Consider the following 17062-nt stretch of genomic DNA (forward strand, 5'->3'; position numbering starts at 1 on the left):
TAAAGAACTTCTTAAACCTCTGTAAAAATGTGGGCAAAAGATACAAATGAAGCATTCACAAAAAAAAGAAACACAGTTTTTAAACTTAAGAAAATATGTTCATAAGTTCCAACTAATTCCTAATAACTACTCAAGATACTGTGAAATAGCTACCATTTTTAACATATCGAATTGGCAAAGATAAGTCTGACAACACTCTGATGACAAGACTGTGGGGAGACAGGCACCCTCATACTTTTTCTGAGAATATAAATTATATGGTCTCTATGGAATGAAATTTGACAGTATCTTACAAAGTTACAAATTCATTTTTCCTTGACCTGGCAATTCATTTCAAGGAATTTATCGTATTAATTTACTTGCAAAGTGTGAAAGGACATTCCCATATGTTTATTCATTGAGGCATTATTTGAAATAATAAAAGATTAGAAACAAATTAAATGGCCATTAATAAGGAACTGGTTAAACCAATGATGGTATGCTCTAACCCGTTGAATATTACCAAGCTATATAAAGAATGAGGAAGCTCGTTAGGAATTGCTGTGATAATTTCTCTGAAATTATTAAGATGGAAAAAAAGCATGGTGCAAAATAATGTGTACCACTTGGTATCATTAGTATAAAATGTTGCATGTGTGAGATGAAAACTATATGTATTTACAAATGGGGGAAATATGTGTTTGTTTATGTATACACACACACACACACACCTATAAGACAAATATTTCTAGAAGGATATAAGAAGCTGAGCACACTACTTTTCCTCTGAGACTGCAGAACAGGCTTGGTACTTTACTTCCTTTTTTTCTATCTTTTAAATTTTGATTCATGAGAACATAATACGTGGTCAAAAGTGAACAATTTTTAAGAAAAATCACACTTTGATACGTGCCACTTCACTTGTTGTTACGAAACCTAATGTTTTTGTAAAGTTTTTAGTTCAGGATACGAGTTGACATGAAGAATAGGGTTCCCATGAGGGTGTCTTACAGACACAGCCCAATTTCTCCTGCAAAATAGTGACCCAGCTGCAGGCACTTTTATGTTGAAACTACACTTGCTTTGAACTAGCTGAATTTCCCTATCTTATAAATTCTAACCACCCCCTCTTTAGCAGCCATCACAGGAAAGGATGAAATACAGTTGTTCATTATGTCAAGGAAATAACCAATTAGCCATTAGACAATTCAATAAGCTTTGTATAAATCTAGTGAACAGATGATATCTTAAATAAGTTTGATGAATTAATGTTTAATTTGTTCTTGTAGAGCCATGCAGACCTCCCTACCCTCAGTGTAAATGTCACCCAGCTGCTGATGGGTGACAGGACAAGACAATATTCAAAATCCTTTCAGTTAACAGTGGACATGAGAGTTCCAGTGCCAGTGAACCAATGACACGAATTTTCCTGGGGCCCATCTCAGATGCTCCTTTTGCTTCCAACCTCACCCCTTTCCAACCCCTGAGTTGAACCCGTACCGCAAAAATTCTTTAAGTCAAATCTCGTAATTGCTTCCAATTTGTCTGTTTTGCTTTTGGCAATTAACAAACTGAAATGTTATCACGAAGGAGTTCATCTCATTTATAAGACCAGGTTTTCCCTCCACTAAAATATGCAGGCACTCTGTTCTTTATTACCAGCAGGAGATAAATGGCTGGTTTTCGTTGCTGAAGAATATATAATGGTTAAAAAGTCACTTTTTTCCTCCAGCTCTACATAAATCACAGAACTAGTCAATATTTAATAATGCTTGCCTTGGTCTGGAGTCCCTTGATCACCCCTGTCATGTGTAATAGCTCCCTCTCCGATATCTTTGACATAAAAGCCCAGCTTTACTGCAATACTAACATGTAGAGGGTCATTACGGATCGACATTTACCTTAATCTGTGACTGCCAACCATGAACCGATAAATTCCAGCAGATTCCACTGGGAGAAATCAGTAAACTTCTCAGTGGAAAGAACTGAAGGAAAATTCTGCCGAGAACAGAATACATTTTCTACAAGGGCTGTTCGGTAAATGGGTTCTGACTTTTGAAAGTTCTCTTGCCGCGCAGCTTTGCAACATTTAATACCGTTTTGATGGTTTGAGAGACGGGATGACAACTGAAGATGACATGACTTAGAAGGCAAGCAGAAATTTTCTCTGCAAAAACAATGCAAGATTAAACACGAGGGGGAATATGGCTCTTGCATTATTCACCCAGCTGCCTTGGCGGAAATAGCTGGGCTGTCATGGGTCCGGCCTAAATGTTGCTTCTTTTTTCAAATCGATCATCACTCCTTCACCTCATAATCTTACAAGTGCTTTACAGCAGAATACATGAAAGCCCTGATTGCATAAAAAAGGGACACACCAATCTTTGAGGGGATCAGCTTAGACTCTGACACGCACTTGACTCGCATTTGCTTGCCAGTGCAGTACACAAATAACCACCCTTTTCAAATTTAGAAAAGCCTGTTTTTTTCTTTCTTCACCTGTTTTTACACTTGGAGGATGTTATTAAGTATTACAAAGACTCATAGAAAATTCAGAAACAAAGAAACGTTTTCAAGCCTAAGCAACAGACTAACATGCTAATAACATGTCTGACTGAATCCACGATATTGCATATTTGCTACTCATTTAAAAATAAAGGTTCAAACTTCCTCCTACAAAAATAGTAAGGCCACTCCTGGAAGATGATAAACAACAGCACTTAATACAGATCCAAAGTTTCTATTAAAATATATACCTGCTCTTTTTATGGTAGAGTTTGCTTAAAATAAACATCATGCTACCATAGCACCTAACTTATTGAATCAGATAGTTTTTGAAAATACTTTCAAGGAACCCCATGTAGCCTAATCCACATTCAGTAAATTTATCAGAACACACAGCAGAATTACTAAGATAGTTCAGAAATCTAAAACAGTCACAAAAATGGCTTGTTTAAGATGGACTGCAAAATTATAGTTCAACTCTTTGCATACACGATGTTTTAGGTTTGAACCACTTTTTAGCAAGGGAAGAAGAGTATATACTAGTTCTTCAGCATGTGTCACCTAAAGGGTTTGCTTAAACACAGACTGTTAGACCTTAGCCTCTAGAGTTTCTGATTCACTAGGCTGGGGCAGAAGCTCTACAACGTACATTTCTAAGCGTTCATCAGATGTGGCTGTTGCTGCTGCTCTGGGAACCACATTCTGAGAACCGTCGGGCAGTAGCTTATCCGTATAGGTTATTTTCAGGAAAATAAAGAAACCAACATCTGTGGCTAAAAGAAAGATTTTAGCCAAAAGAAAGATTTTAAATAAAAATGAGTTGTTTTCTAATGTTATTTAAAGTTTAGAAAATAAAAACAAATTACCTGGGTCTACATAGAATATCCCAGTGAAAAGGACTGAGTGTGTTAAGAGTCCATTAGGGCGAAAAGGTGCTTCCCACCTCACGTGGGCTTTCCGGGATCCCTGTGTTTTGACAAACACATTTACTGTTCCTTCAGGAGGAGCTTCTAGAGTTCGATTTTCCACCTGTGAGTATAAAAAGATTTATTTTTGTTTGCAAATAAAATAAGTACATGCTTCGCTTTGAGCATATTTCTTCAAAGAATCTCTTTTTGCTGTGAAGTAAACTATTTTGACAGTAGCATCTTGTATGAATACCTCATTTTGTCAGCAGGATCAAAGCACACCTCATGTTTTCTTCCCCCTGCTGTTAAAGCTTAGAATTTGAGCTCTTGACCAAGGCAGCTATTTGTGATTTCCAGAATATGTGGATCTGCTCACACTGTGACTGTGCCTATGGCTGTACATATCCATAGACCAATTCTAGGACTGCTTTAAAATAATTTTTATGTGATTGCAAAAGAGAAGAAATGCACGCAGTCTGTTTTTATAAGTCCTTGACTTAGGTGGTAGACTTCTGGCCTCTGTCAAAAAGCTACACCACATATCTTGACTCTCTCTCTTCTCTGTCACACACACACACACACACACACACACACACACACACACGCATGCATACATGTGTGTACAGGCATGCACGCACACACACGCAAAATTTTTATGAGCTATGTTGCTATCAGTTATGTAAAAATGGCATCATGCTAACATTAAGAAATACATGCATCCTAGGGACTCTATCCCTAAGGCACAATCACAAAAAAATATTGATTGTGTTAATGAAGCTATGCAGAAAAGAGCAAAAGATGAATTATTTGAAGAGAAAGACTCTGAAATAAAATGCAATCCCTAGCTGTACCGGGGTCAGGAAGATTTCAATAGATAAATAAGTAAAATAAGTGGTCAGAGGAAGATGTAGTTGGCAAGAAAGTAGAAAAGAGTTCAGAAATTTTTAATATCTTTTAATCATTAGCTTAAATTCAGTTAACTAATCACTACAAACTCATCAGCATCACTCATAGATATTTGACCTTTCACAATTTACTAAATATGTGATAATTTCAACTTTATTCTTAAGGTACAAGCTCTTGCCTCCCAAGGAGGTGATCAAACATGAAATCCTTAGGCAGAAATATTATCAATTAGAAAACCTTTATTTGTTAGGGTGATTATACCTTATCAATTATGAAAATAAATGTGAAAAAGAAAGTGTTAATTTTTAATAACTATGAGGTCACAACATGTTTTATTTTCATCAGAGAAAAGCTATGGGATTCTTTAGAACTATAACACTTGCTCTTTCGTTTTTAGTTTAATAGCTACATACAAAAATGATGAAACTAGGCCAGAAAAATATCAATTCATCATTTTAATATTTTATGACAATGTAATTTGTTTTATTATGCCTATCTATATAGTTCATATTATTGTACATAGAATGATTTTAAAGCATTCCAAATAAAATGAGACTTGAAAAGTTGAAGAATTAAGGGCAATTCCAGATAATTATATTATAATCCTCAAATATTTGGTTAATTCAAAATAAATATGTTTTGTAACATTTCCTTAAATATTTGGATAAACACTTCAGTTTTTACTATACATTGAATTTGGCAATTGTACTATTTTGCTCTGACCTGGTCTTTCTTTTTCATTTTACTTTTTTGTTTATCTACCTTGCTGTAAAAGGAATATGTGGAAAAGGCACTTGGGAAAGGTAAAAGTTGGCTTGGCTTTGGCCTGGGAACCTCTCTTGACACAGAAAAAATATTTGAGAGCAAATGTGCAATAAAACATACAAACACTTTAATACATTGTAATTCTTTTGTTTGTTTTTAAATGGAGTCTCACTCTGTCTCCAAGGCTGGAGTGCAGTGGCACAATCTCGGGTCACTGGAATCCCCACTTCCCAGGTTCAAGCTATTTTCCTGCCTCAGCCTCCGGAGTAGCTGAGACTGCAGGCGCCCGCCACCACATCCAGCTAACTTTTGTATTTTTAGTAGAGATGGGGTTTCATCATATTGGCCAGGCTGGTCTCGAACTCCTGACCTTGTGATCCACCCACTTTGACCTCCCAACATGCTGGGATTACAGGTGTGAGCCACCATGCCTGGCCATAAACTGTTATTCTTAATAAAACTCTTGCAATGCGCCAGAAATTTGTGTAAGTTATATTTAATTTTTTACACCAACTCTCTTAAAGTAGACATTATTTCTCTTTGTAATAGTTGAGAAATCTGAGGCTTTGTAGAATAAGTATATCTCCTAAGGGGGTATAGGGATTTAAGGGGTTTAAGCAGGTTGAAGGCAGACTTCCCCTATAGCGTTTGCTTGACTATATTATATATTGCCATTAAGATTTAGATGTCTTAAATAACACACTTATTTGCTTCTTTGCAAAAAAAAAAAATGTGAAAGGGTGAATGTGTTTGTACATGTGTATTTATCCAGGTGTATTTATCTGTATAAGTATGACATCACTAAGGAACCAAGACAACTTTTTAGCCATATCACATAGCAATGACCTATAGTCTCGCATATCATCCTTAAGAGTCCCTGGAGAATCGATCCAATGAATGTTACAATACAAGACACAGTCATAAAATTCTCAATCTTAGACTCCACTAGTGTTATGTAACATTGGCTAAGTGGGGAGTAAGAAAGCAAAGTGATTTTCTTATGGAAAACATTATTGTATTTTATTAAAGAATATTACAAAATGTGAAGGGTTTCCCTCTAATACAATTGAAAGCAAGGAAAGCATTTAAAAAGTTCCTGCTGCATTCTGTTAATTTTTATGTTATTTCAAAATTTATAAAACCCCAATTTATTGAATTTAACTTGACAATGCACATTAGCATCTAAAAATTAGGTTCAAAGGCTTTGTCAATTGTTTTCTATATTGAAATTTCCATAAGAGTCAAATACATTATTTGGTTGAGTAAGAACTGAAAAAAACCACAGGAGAATCATTGTGGGTTTTTTTTGTTGCTGTTGTTGCTGCTGTTTATTTTGTTTTGTTTTTGTTTTTTCCAGATAGGTACAGGGCAACTCCTTCTGAACCATAAATAATAGCTAACAAACTGGTCAGATTAGAAAAAAAAATGAGCTAATACTACATTCAAGTGGTAAGAATATGGAACTTCTGTATGTCTTTTTATTTTTAAAAATTCTCCATCAAATTCATATTTTTTATTATATGAACAATTTGCAATTTGGAGGATGAACCATATCATATTTGGGACTGTGAAGCATATTCCTCATAGAAAACATTGAATAGTATTTCCCTGCATGTGTGGATAATCTAAAGAACAAGAATTATCATTAAGAAATATTAGATGAACAAAAAAATTGAACTCTTTCAAAATTTATTCTGATTTCTGCCAGCAAAATATTTAAAAATAGAAATGATAAATTTTCTGTTTCAATGAAATTTTTTATTTAAAATGTCATAGCATCGGGCTCTATTTAGATGAATATCTTAAGAAACCGTTGTACACCATTGCCACGTTTGACTGAATTTTGTTGAGTATCACATCATAATTTAATGATAGAAAACTCTGCCTTTTAAGATTGATTCATAGATTTCTTAAGTCAATAAGGACACATTAAAAGAATCATCAACAAAAAGAAGCTGAATCTGTAATATCCTTCATGATTGTGCTAGCCATCCAGGGCTATTTAGAATACTCAGATATGGAATCACTTAATGGGCACAAAAATATTTCACAAACCAGTTGAAGACCATGGGCTTTAACTTCTTGGTAGCATATAGTTGACTTGTTCTAAATAAAGACATTGCTCTTCAATCCCAGTGATTAGAGATGGATCATTGACTAGGGAAAAGCGTTTGCATACTGAGTACAGCATAAAGAAAAGTACCAAGGGAGAAAATAACTCTGTGCTGTAAGTCAGGATTGAGTCTGGAATGAATGAAGCCATGGCAGACTAGGTTTTACAACCCAATTCTATTCCCCCCTTCCTATCAGAGCTTTGTGGCATTTGATTTCTTAAGGTTAACGTAGCTACTGTCTGTGCAGGATGCAGGTTGATAATGCAGGTCCCCCTTATTTAAAGTTGCCAGAACATCAGGAGACACCGCTGAGCCAATTTTGTAGCCAGAACTACCATTTGCAGCTTACATTTTCAAAAAGTGTAAATTTCAATCTCATGTGACGTGTTCTTTTGTTTCTTTTTCTTTTTTTTTTTTTGAATGGATAAGAAAAGCTGGCCTATTGCCATTCCTGCATTTAAGGGTAAGTATCCATCAGAGGGGTCTGGGCTATAAAATGCTTAATGGCAATAAAGACTACAGCTCAGCTCCGCCGATGGATGGTGTTAGCTGCTTGGAAAGCAACCAATCTCTGAAACAAAAAGAGAGGTGTGATCAAAAATAAGGAAGCAGAAATTAAAACATAGAGCTGTCTTCCAAGGTAATATTTATATAATATACTCTTCAGTGAAGACAGCATGCACTAAAATGATAGGGCATTAGCAAACATTGCCAAAAAATATCTAAGACTAATGAGCATTTCCATCTAAAGAAGCAAAATCTAATTAATCAAGAAAAATGCACCAAAGTGTAATGTGATGTTTTGAAACTGAAGACTGTCCTGCTAGTTTATGATAATTAAGTGCTATTAATTGGGTTTGAAAAATTATATTAGGAATAGAAAACATAATCTTGTCAAGCTGTTAACTGCTAATGAAATATAGATATACATTTCAGATATAGATTTCTGAAATATGAATATCAAAAGCTGATATTGATGTAATTTTAAATACCATTCTTATGAAGCTGTATCACATGAAACTATTTTATCCTAACAGATGAGGTAAACTCAACCTTTTAATTGATTACTTTTTGGGGAGCAGTGTTGCCATATTGTGGCACTTATGGACTTTCAATTATTTTTACTTCTTAATCTTAAACTTACTTAGATGTTGAGCCCATGATTAGAAAGAAAAACATCTGCCTTCAATATGTCACTAAATTAGGAAAAATTTCATGTTTGCCTACTACACTAGCCAACTTATCTTTCTTTCAATAAAATGTAGACTCTGCCCTTCACTGGACCTATGTTCAGTCTTGAAATTTATGTCGAATATAAAATCTTAGTAACTCTTAAATGAACTTTTATAAAAAGAAAAATCTCCCATCCTGCTTGAAAGGCTAGCTGTGCAGAGGGTGAGTCACCGCCACTTACTTCTTCCTTAATATTCAGTGTCATCTGACATTTAACACATTCCTAGAATGTAAATTTAGATACTCACCAGTGGGCCCAGAGCACAACCTTTGGCCGTGCATGCTTGGACTCTGAAGGAATGTAAACTCCAAGGAGCAAATCCGTAAGCACGATAGCTGAGTTCTGAGGAATTGTGGATTAATATACCATCTAGATATAATCCATAACTCGTGATAACACCTGGGAAGATAATAATTGCCTTTCAGTATGACTACTAGACAATAGCAAAGAAGGTCTTAAGAAAGCAAGCACTCTTGATGTGATTTCTAGTTTCATGGAATCATTAAATCACAGACTCTGGTATTTCTCCTTGTCTAAACTCTGTCTCTTACCAAAGGATAAAATAGATGTTACCCTTGAATATCAAACTGTAAACCTAATTAATACAGAGACAGAAATAGAACCCAACAGTTCCAGCATGAGAATCTTTCTATTGCATCCTGTTAACTGTTGTCATGTGTGTTCCAGATCAAAAATTAATAAGTGAAGCATACTTATAATTTGTATTGCTTTCTAAAAGAAGATATTCTTAATAGATATGCCCCAGAAGTAAATCGACCTTATTTGTTAATGCATTCTATATGACTCATAATGTATCAGGCACTGTTCTAAGCACCTGGTACACATTGGCTTCTTTTTAACCCTCTCTTCATAGCATTCCTATAACAGGCAAAGAGAAAAGGTATCATATTGGAGGAGAAACTGGCTTCCTACTGCACATTGTCAGTCAGGACATTCAAAAGGGCATCTCTTTATATGACCAGGTCCAATCATATAAGCATTGAAAATCTGCAGCAACCCAATCAAGATAGAACAGGAAGGACATAGACCCCCTTAGTAATGAAGATCCAGTGGCCTAAGTAAAAAATTCCAAATAAGCCGGGTGTGGTGACTCATACCTGTAATCCCAACACTTTGGGAGGCCAAAGCAGAAGGACCACTTGAGCCCCAAAGTTCAAGACCAGCCTGGGCAACATAGAGAGACCCTATCTCTACAAAAAATAAAAATAAAAGAACTACAAACAAATGAACTACCAGCTGAGGGCAAAGAGAAGAAGTTGTAAATATCAGCTATGGTCTCACAACTAATTATATAAACAAGAATTATAAATGCTATCATATTTTATTTCTGCTTATGACACAGAGATTTGTATATTGTAGCCAATTTTCCGTCCTCCTTTCCCCATTGATTCATGTAAATAGGGTTAGTGGGTATTAATTTATAGTTTAGTTTTTTTATGTTGAAGAATATCCAGATGGGTTGTGCCTGAACTAAAAGGGGAATTAACATCACCCAGATAAGAATGTGATGAGGGAGGTGAGAGCACCGTCATTTGTACAAAGCATAGTAGTATCATGTTCATTGGAAGCATAGAGTGATTGCTATTGGTAATGAAAGGTGGTGAAAAGTACAAGGGTGTGTGTGAATGCCGAGTAGCTAAGAAGGTGATTCATCTGACGTCCGCCCCAGCTACACATCCACGCTTCTATAGCCTGTTCTGTACGGCTGAACCTACAAACTACAAACTACATTTCCAACTCTCTTGCTTGTTGGCCTTCTATTGGGTTTTGCCAGTGGGAGGCACTGTGAGGAGGACAGAAGCAGGAAGAAAGAAAACGTCCAGTTTCTAGCTCCAAGAGCTGAGGGCTTTGTTGACAGCTGCTGTGTCAGCAGGGGACAAAGCACCTGCAGCCTCAAGCATTCCAGACAGAAGAAGCATCTCTTCTGCATTTTCTGCCTCTTCGGTAGTGGAATGTTGTTGGCATTTCAGCTCTGGTTGGGGCAGCGTCCCATAATGGTTCAAATGTCAAATCGGCAAGTGTAGCAGTAAGCACCAGCTCCTGTCAATCATCCTTTTCTTCCATCCAGTACCTGCCACCTTTCCCTTTTGTTCTTCCAGCCCTTCTTTACAACACCTTGAGAACAACCTACTTGTATAAAATACCCTCTGTTTTGAATATCTGAAATGTTTTCTCTTATACCAATCAGATCTAGGACAATACATTCATTTAGGATTAAAGCATTTTTTGTTAAATGAGTTAATACTTTTAAAAAGCCACTGCTGTGATTCATTTTCCTTTAAGAAGACAACCTTGTATAGTTTACCATTCTGATAAGTCCATTTCCCTTATTTCCAAATTTTTGGGAAAGATCTTTTATTTTACTCTCAGGTACCACTTATAGCTCTAAACACACAAAAAGATGTGGCTGCCAGTATCTGTTTTTCTTTATTTCTGGTGTGACCATCTATGGTAACTTTATGAATACCTATGGAAGGTATTTGATTTAATTCTATGTAGTACTTGACACACAAAGACACAAATGAGTTAAAGCTAAGAAGTGAAAGACACATAGTGAAAACACCACCTACCTATAATACATAGAAAATTTAAAGGGAAAAAAGATATGATCAGGTAATAACAATGACCAAAAAATTCTTACATGTCAGGCTCTCTGTGAAGCAGTCAGTTGATCCTAAAAAAATCTTATGTACAAATAGTGTGTTACAGAATCTCTTAAAGAAACCATAAGACCCTTGAAATGCTACCTATTTGACCTGCTTTTTAACTGAGATACAAAGTACCTAAATCAATAGTTCCCTTTTCTTACATAATTGGGGAACAGAGAATGTCTTTTATGTTAGGATTATGTGCATAATATCTCATTTATCTGACATATTGGGAAATGAGATATTTTATAGAAGTTAATTTTCATTGAAACTAAATCTCATCCCCTTAAGTATGAACTCTAAAAATCTTAACCACTTTTGAAGGAAATCCTTCTAGTAAGTTCTACACACTTACCTGTCTTCTCACACAGAATATAATGAATATAATTGAATCATTTTGTGAAGACTGAAACTTTGATTATGGACACCAAAGACTACATTCTCTAATTCTATAATGCTTCAGTGATTGATGAGATACAGGGTTCTTACCCAGCTTTTACCCTAAACATCACTCAGTGACTGCACCTTACCAATTCTTGTGTCATTGTTTGAGTTCTTCTACATCCTCTCTCAGTGACAGTTTCTCCAAATTTACTTCTTCTTCTTCTTCTTTTTTTTTTTTTTTTTTGTCTATCTGACTCTAGTAAGTCAACCCTTAGCAATCTATGTTGAGAAGCTAGATAACCTTGACATCTGGAACTATGGATATAGGAAGAGCAGACAGTTATTGAAAGAAGGGCTTAGACTAAGATGAATACATGGCAAATAAGCTGAGAATGAAATTAAGTGATATTTGTGACAGTTAATTCAACTGCTCAAAAACTTTTTAGTATCCAGGATGTATCTAATTGAGAGGTGGATGAGAATGAAGTCTAACTTTAACATAGGTGAGATCACACACACACACACACACACACACACACAAACACAGAGTTACCCGGCATCCTGTAGGTAAACAGTATTTGACAGCATATGGAGGAAGGGCTGAAGGATGAATTGTGGAACCACACTGTAGGACTAGTATTATATTGATACACACACACACATCATATTAAGCTGATTTCAATATAAACAAAATCAATATAATATAAAACACTGTATGATTCAGCTTTAAAACATACTTTTAATAAGCGGTAAGTCTAAAACACCTATTAACATGACAATTTTAACTTCATTGACCTCAGATTCCTAAACAGAGTAACAAAAACTAACAAATATAATGTAGTGGACATTTTAAACTGAAGCCTAAGAAGATGCTTTTTTCTTTAACTAGAACACAGGACATGTATCAATAGCTGTTTTTTCCAACTTTTATTTTAGATTCGGGGGTTCATGTGCAGGTTTCTGACATGGGTATATTGTGTGATGCTGAGGTTTGGGATGTGAATGATCCCATCACCCAGATAGTGAGCATAGTACCCAACAGTTAGATTTTCAGTCCTTACTCCCCATTCCCTGCCATTAATCCTCAGGGTCTATTGTCATCTTTATGTCCATGAATACCCAATGTTTAGCTCCCACTTATAAATGAGAATATGCAATATTTGTTTTTTTGTTCTTGTATTAATTTGCTTAGTACAAAAGCCTCCAGCTTCATAGATGTTGCTGCAAAAGACATGATTTCAGGGTTTTTTCTGTGGTTGTATAGTATTTCGTAGTGTATATGTATCATATTTTTTCATTCAACCCACTGTTGATGGGCACCTAGGCTGATTCCATGTCTTTGCTCTTGTGACTAGTACTGTGATGAACACACGAGTGCATGTTTCTTTTGGTAGAATGATTTGTTTTCCTTTGGGTACATACCCAGTAATGGGTTGCTGGGTCAAATGGTGGTTCTGTTTTAAGTTCTTTGAAAAACCTTCAACTGCTTTCCACAGTGGCCGAACTAATTTACATTCCCACCAACAGTATATAAGCATTCAACCCTTTTCTTTGCAGCCTCGCCAGCATCTGTTGTTTTTTGACTTTTTAATAGCAGTCATTCTGACTGGTGTGAGATGGTACTCGTTGTGGTTTTGATATGCAATTCTCTGATGATTAGTGATGTTGAGCATGTTTGTTAGCTGTTTGTCTGCCTTCTTTTGAGAAGTGTCTGTTCATGTCTTTTACCCACTTTTTAATGAGGTTATTTGTTTTTTACTTGTTGATTTAAGTTTCTTATAGATTCTGGATATTTGACCTTTGTCAAATGGATGGTTTGTGAATATTTTCTCCCACTCTGTAATTTGTCTGTTTACTCTGTTGATAGTTTATTTTGCTGTGCTGAAGCTCTTTAGTTTAATTAGGTTTATCTTGTCAATTTTTGTTGCAATTGCTTTTGAGGACTTGGTCATAAGTTCTTTCCCAAGGACAACATCCAGAATGGTGTTTCCTAAGTTTTCCTCTAGGATTCTTATAATATGAGATCTTATATTTAAATCTTTAATCCATCTTGAGCTAGTTTTTGTATATGATGAAAAGTAGGGGTCTGGTTTGCTGCATAAGGCTAGCAAGCTACCCCAGCACCATTTTTAAAATAGGCAGTCCTTTCTCCATTGATTATTTTTGTTGACTTTGTAAAAGATCAGATAGCTGTAGGTGCACAGCTGTATTTCTAGATTCTCTTTTCTGTTCCATTGGTCTATGTGTCTGTTTTTGTACCAGTATCATGTTGTTTTGGTTACTGTAGCCTTATAGTATAGTTTGAAGTTGAGTAATGTGATGCCTCCAGCTTTGTTCTTTTTGTGTAGAATTGCTTTGGCTCTTTTTGGGCTCTTTTTGGGTTCCATATGAATTTTAGAATAGCTTTTTCCTAATTCTGTGAAAAATGATATTGGTAGTTTGATAGAAATAGCATTGAATCTGTAAATTGCTTTGGGCACTATGGCCATTTTAGTGATTATTGATTCTTCCACTTCATGAGCATGGAACATTTTTCCATTTGTGCCATACACGATTTCTTTTACCAGTGTTTTCTAGTTCTCCTTGTAGACATCTTTCACCTTCTTGGATGGATGTATGCCTAGGAATTTACTGTTTTGTGGCTATTGTAAATGAGATTGCATTCTTGATTTGGCTCTCAGTTTGAACATTATTGGTGTATAGAAATGCTACTCATTTTTACACATTGATTTAGTATCCTAAAACTTTACTGATGTTGTTTGTCAGTTCCAGGAACTTTCTGGTGGAATCTTTTGGGTTTTGTAGGCATAAAATCATATCAGCAAAGAAAGATAGTTTTACTTCTTCTTTTCCTAGTAGGATTTCTTTTATTTCTTTCTTGTGCCTGATTGCTCTGGCAAGGACTTCCAGAACTATGTTGAGTAAGAGTGGTGAGAGTGGGCATTCTTATCTTGTTCCTGTTCTCAGATAGAATGCTTCCAGCTTCTACCTGCTCTGTGTGATGTTGGCTGTGGGTTTGTCATAGATAGCTCTTATTATTTTGAAGTATGTTCTTTTGATGCCTACTTTGTTGAGGGCTTTTATCATGAAGGTATATTGGATTTTATTGAAAGCTTTTTCTGTATCTATTGAGATGATCGTGTGATTTTTGCTTTTAGTTCTATTTATATGATGAATCATGTTTTTAAATATATTTCCAACTCAAGGAGATTTATGAATACATTTATTGATTTGTATATGTTTAGCCAAACTTGGCATCCTAGGAATGAAGCCTACTTGATTGTGTTGAATTAACTTTTTGCTGTGCTGTTGAATTTGGTTTGCTAGTATTTTGTTGAGGACTTTTGTGTCTATGTTTATCAGGAATATTGGCCTGTAGTTTCCTTTTTTAGTTGTGTCTTTGACAAGTTTTGCTATCAGAGAGATGCTGGCCTCATAGAAAGTGTTAAGAAGGAGTCCTTCCTTCTTGATATTTTGTAACAGTTTTAGTAGAATCATTACCAACTCTTCCTTGTACATCTGGTGGAATTTGGGTGTGAATCCACCTGGTCCAGTTTTTTTTTTTTTCTTTTTTTTCGGCGGGGTAGGGGAGGCAGTTCCTACCAAAAACAACAACAACAAACAAGCAAAACACATCCTCAGAGACTATTATAAACACCTCTATGTACACAAACTAGAAAATACAGAGAAAATTCTTAGAAACAAACAACTTCCAAAGAATGAATCAGGAAGAAATTAAAACCCTTAACAGACCAATGTCAAGTTCGAAAATTGAATCAGTAATAAAAAAAATCTTTGCTAGCTTCGAGTTTAGTTTGTTCTTCTAGGTGAGATGTTAGTTTGTTAAACTGAGATCTTTCTAACTTTTTGAGGTAGCTATTTAGCACAATAAACATTCCTCTTAACACTGTCTTTGCTACATCCCAGAGATTTTGGTATGTTGTACCTCTGTTTTCATTTATTTTAAACAAAGTTTTGATTTATGAGTAGCTCTGGGGAAAGTAAGATTTTGAGTCCTTGAAATGCCATGTAAGTATTTTCAAAATTATAGAATACTTAAAATAATTTTTTAAATTAATTAATTAATTTTTTTGGAGATGGAGTCTATCTCTGTAGCCTAGGCTGGAGTACAGTGGCATGATCTCGGCTCACTGCAACCTCCGCCTCCCAGGAGGCGAATTAAGCGATTCCCTTGCCTCAGCCTCCCAAGTAGCTGGGATTATAGGTGCCCGCCATCACGCCCAACTAATTTTTGTGTTTTCAGTAGAGACGGGATTTCACTGTATTGGCCAGGCTAGTCTCGAACTCCTGACCTTGTGATCCACCCTCCTCAGTCTCCCAAAGTGTTGAGATTACAGGCATGAGCCACTGCCACCAGCCCAAAATAATTTAAAGTAATTTAAAATATGCTCAGGCCAAGCATGGTGGCTCATGCCTATAATCCCAGCATTTTGAGAAGCCAAGGCAAGTGAATCGCTTGAGTCTAGGAGTTCGAGACCAGCCTGAGCAATGTGGCAAAGCCCTGTCTCTACAAAAAATGCAAAAAGTTAGTTGGGCATGATGACATGTGCCTGTGGTCCTGGCTATTTGAGAGGCTGACGTGGCAGAATCACTCAGGCCCAGGAGGTCGAGGCTGCAGTGGGCCATGATTGCACCACTGCACTCCAGCCTGGGTGACAAAGTGAGAGCCTTTCTTAAAAAAGAAAATTAAAATGTTCTGATCACTTACTTTGAGACAGACAATAGGGTACATGCTTTTATGCATTATTTTCTTTAACACTGACAACTCCAAAAAATAAGAATTGTTGTTGTCATTGCTGTAAAGAGGAGGGAATGGATTCTTAGAGGGGCTAACCCATTTTACAGGGCCATACAAATATAAATTTAGTTGTGGAAACTGGCCATCTTACCCCACTCTGGTCACTACTCTTGTTATATGTTTCTGGTCTAATTTCCTCTTCTAAAATTTTTAGGAATTTCACTTGAATTAAGAACTGGTGAACATGCTCTGGTTCTCAAAGCAATCAAGATAAGCCTAATAAAAAGATTAATATAAATATATTGAAAGTCAATCAAGTGCAAAGTACTATACTTGGTATTTTGGGAAGTAAGAACAGAATAAGAATAATATCTACCTTTATGGAAGTAAGAAAAGAGTTAAACATAGGTATAATTAAATAACAATTCAAGGGTTAAACAAGGATCATAAGCACCACAACAACTTTATGCCAAACAAATGACATAATTAAATAGTAGACAGTAGGTACAGGACCCTCTAGCAGGGAATAATCACTCTGGCTAAAGAAGTGTTACAGGCTTTTTAGAGCAGTCAAGTCTTCCACATACGGTAGTGGGGACTTCAATAAGTCATATGATGAAGCTAAGTCTCCCATGAAAGGTAATATGTGAAATACCTATGTCTCAGGAAGATGCTTCTGGTGAGGAAAATGACATTTGCCACTGCCTAGAAGTAAGAAAGTGCAAGGTTCAGTAAAGGTATCCCAAATAGATCAATAATCTGTTGTTATTCCTGTAGCTGGATGTATTAGTCCCTTCTCATGCTAATAATAAAGACATACCTGAGACTGGGTAATTTAT

At 35.9% G+C, this 17062-nt stretch overlaps 1 protein-coding gene across 1 annotated transcript in view; it reads right to left on the reverse strand.

The window, feature by feature from the left end:
- Positions 1-17062, reverse strand: part of USH2A (usherin) — an 800558-nt gene that overhangs the window by 339076 nt on the left and 444420 nt on the right. Inside the window, exons 36-37 of the mRNA NM_206933.4 lie at positions 8659-8810; positions 3351-3513 (exon numbers count right to left, since the gene is read on the reverse strand). Coding sequence (NP_996816.3) covers positions 3351-3513; positions 8659-8810 — 315 coding nt within the window. The remainder of the gene's footprint in view (positions 1-3350; positions 3514-8658; positions 8811-17062) is intronic.

This window comes from Homo sapiens, chromosome 1 (genome assembly GCF_000001405.40).
Source record: "Homo sapiens chromosome 1, GRCh38.p14 Primary Assembly".
Lineage (NCBI taxonomy): Eukaryota > Metazoa > Chordata > Mammalia > Primates > Hominidae > Homo > Homo sapiens.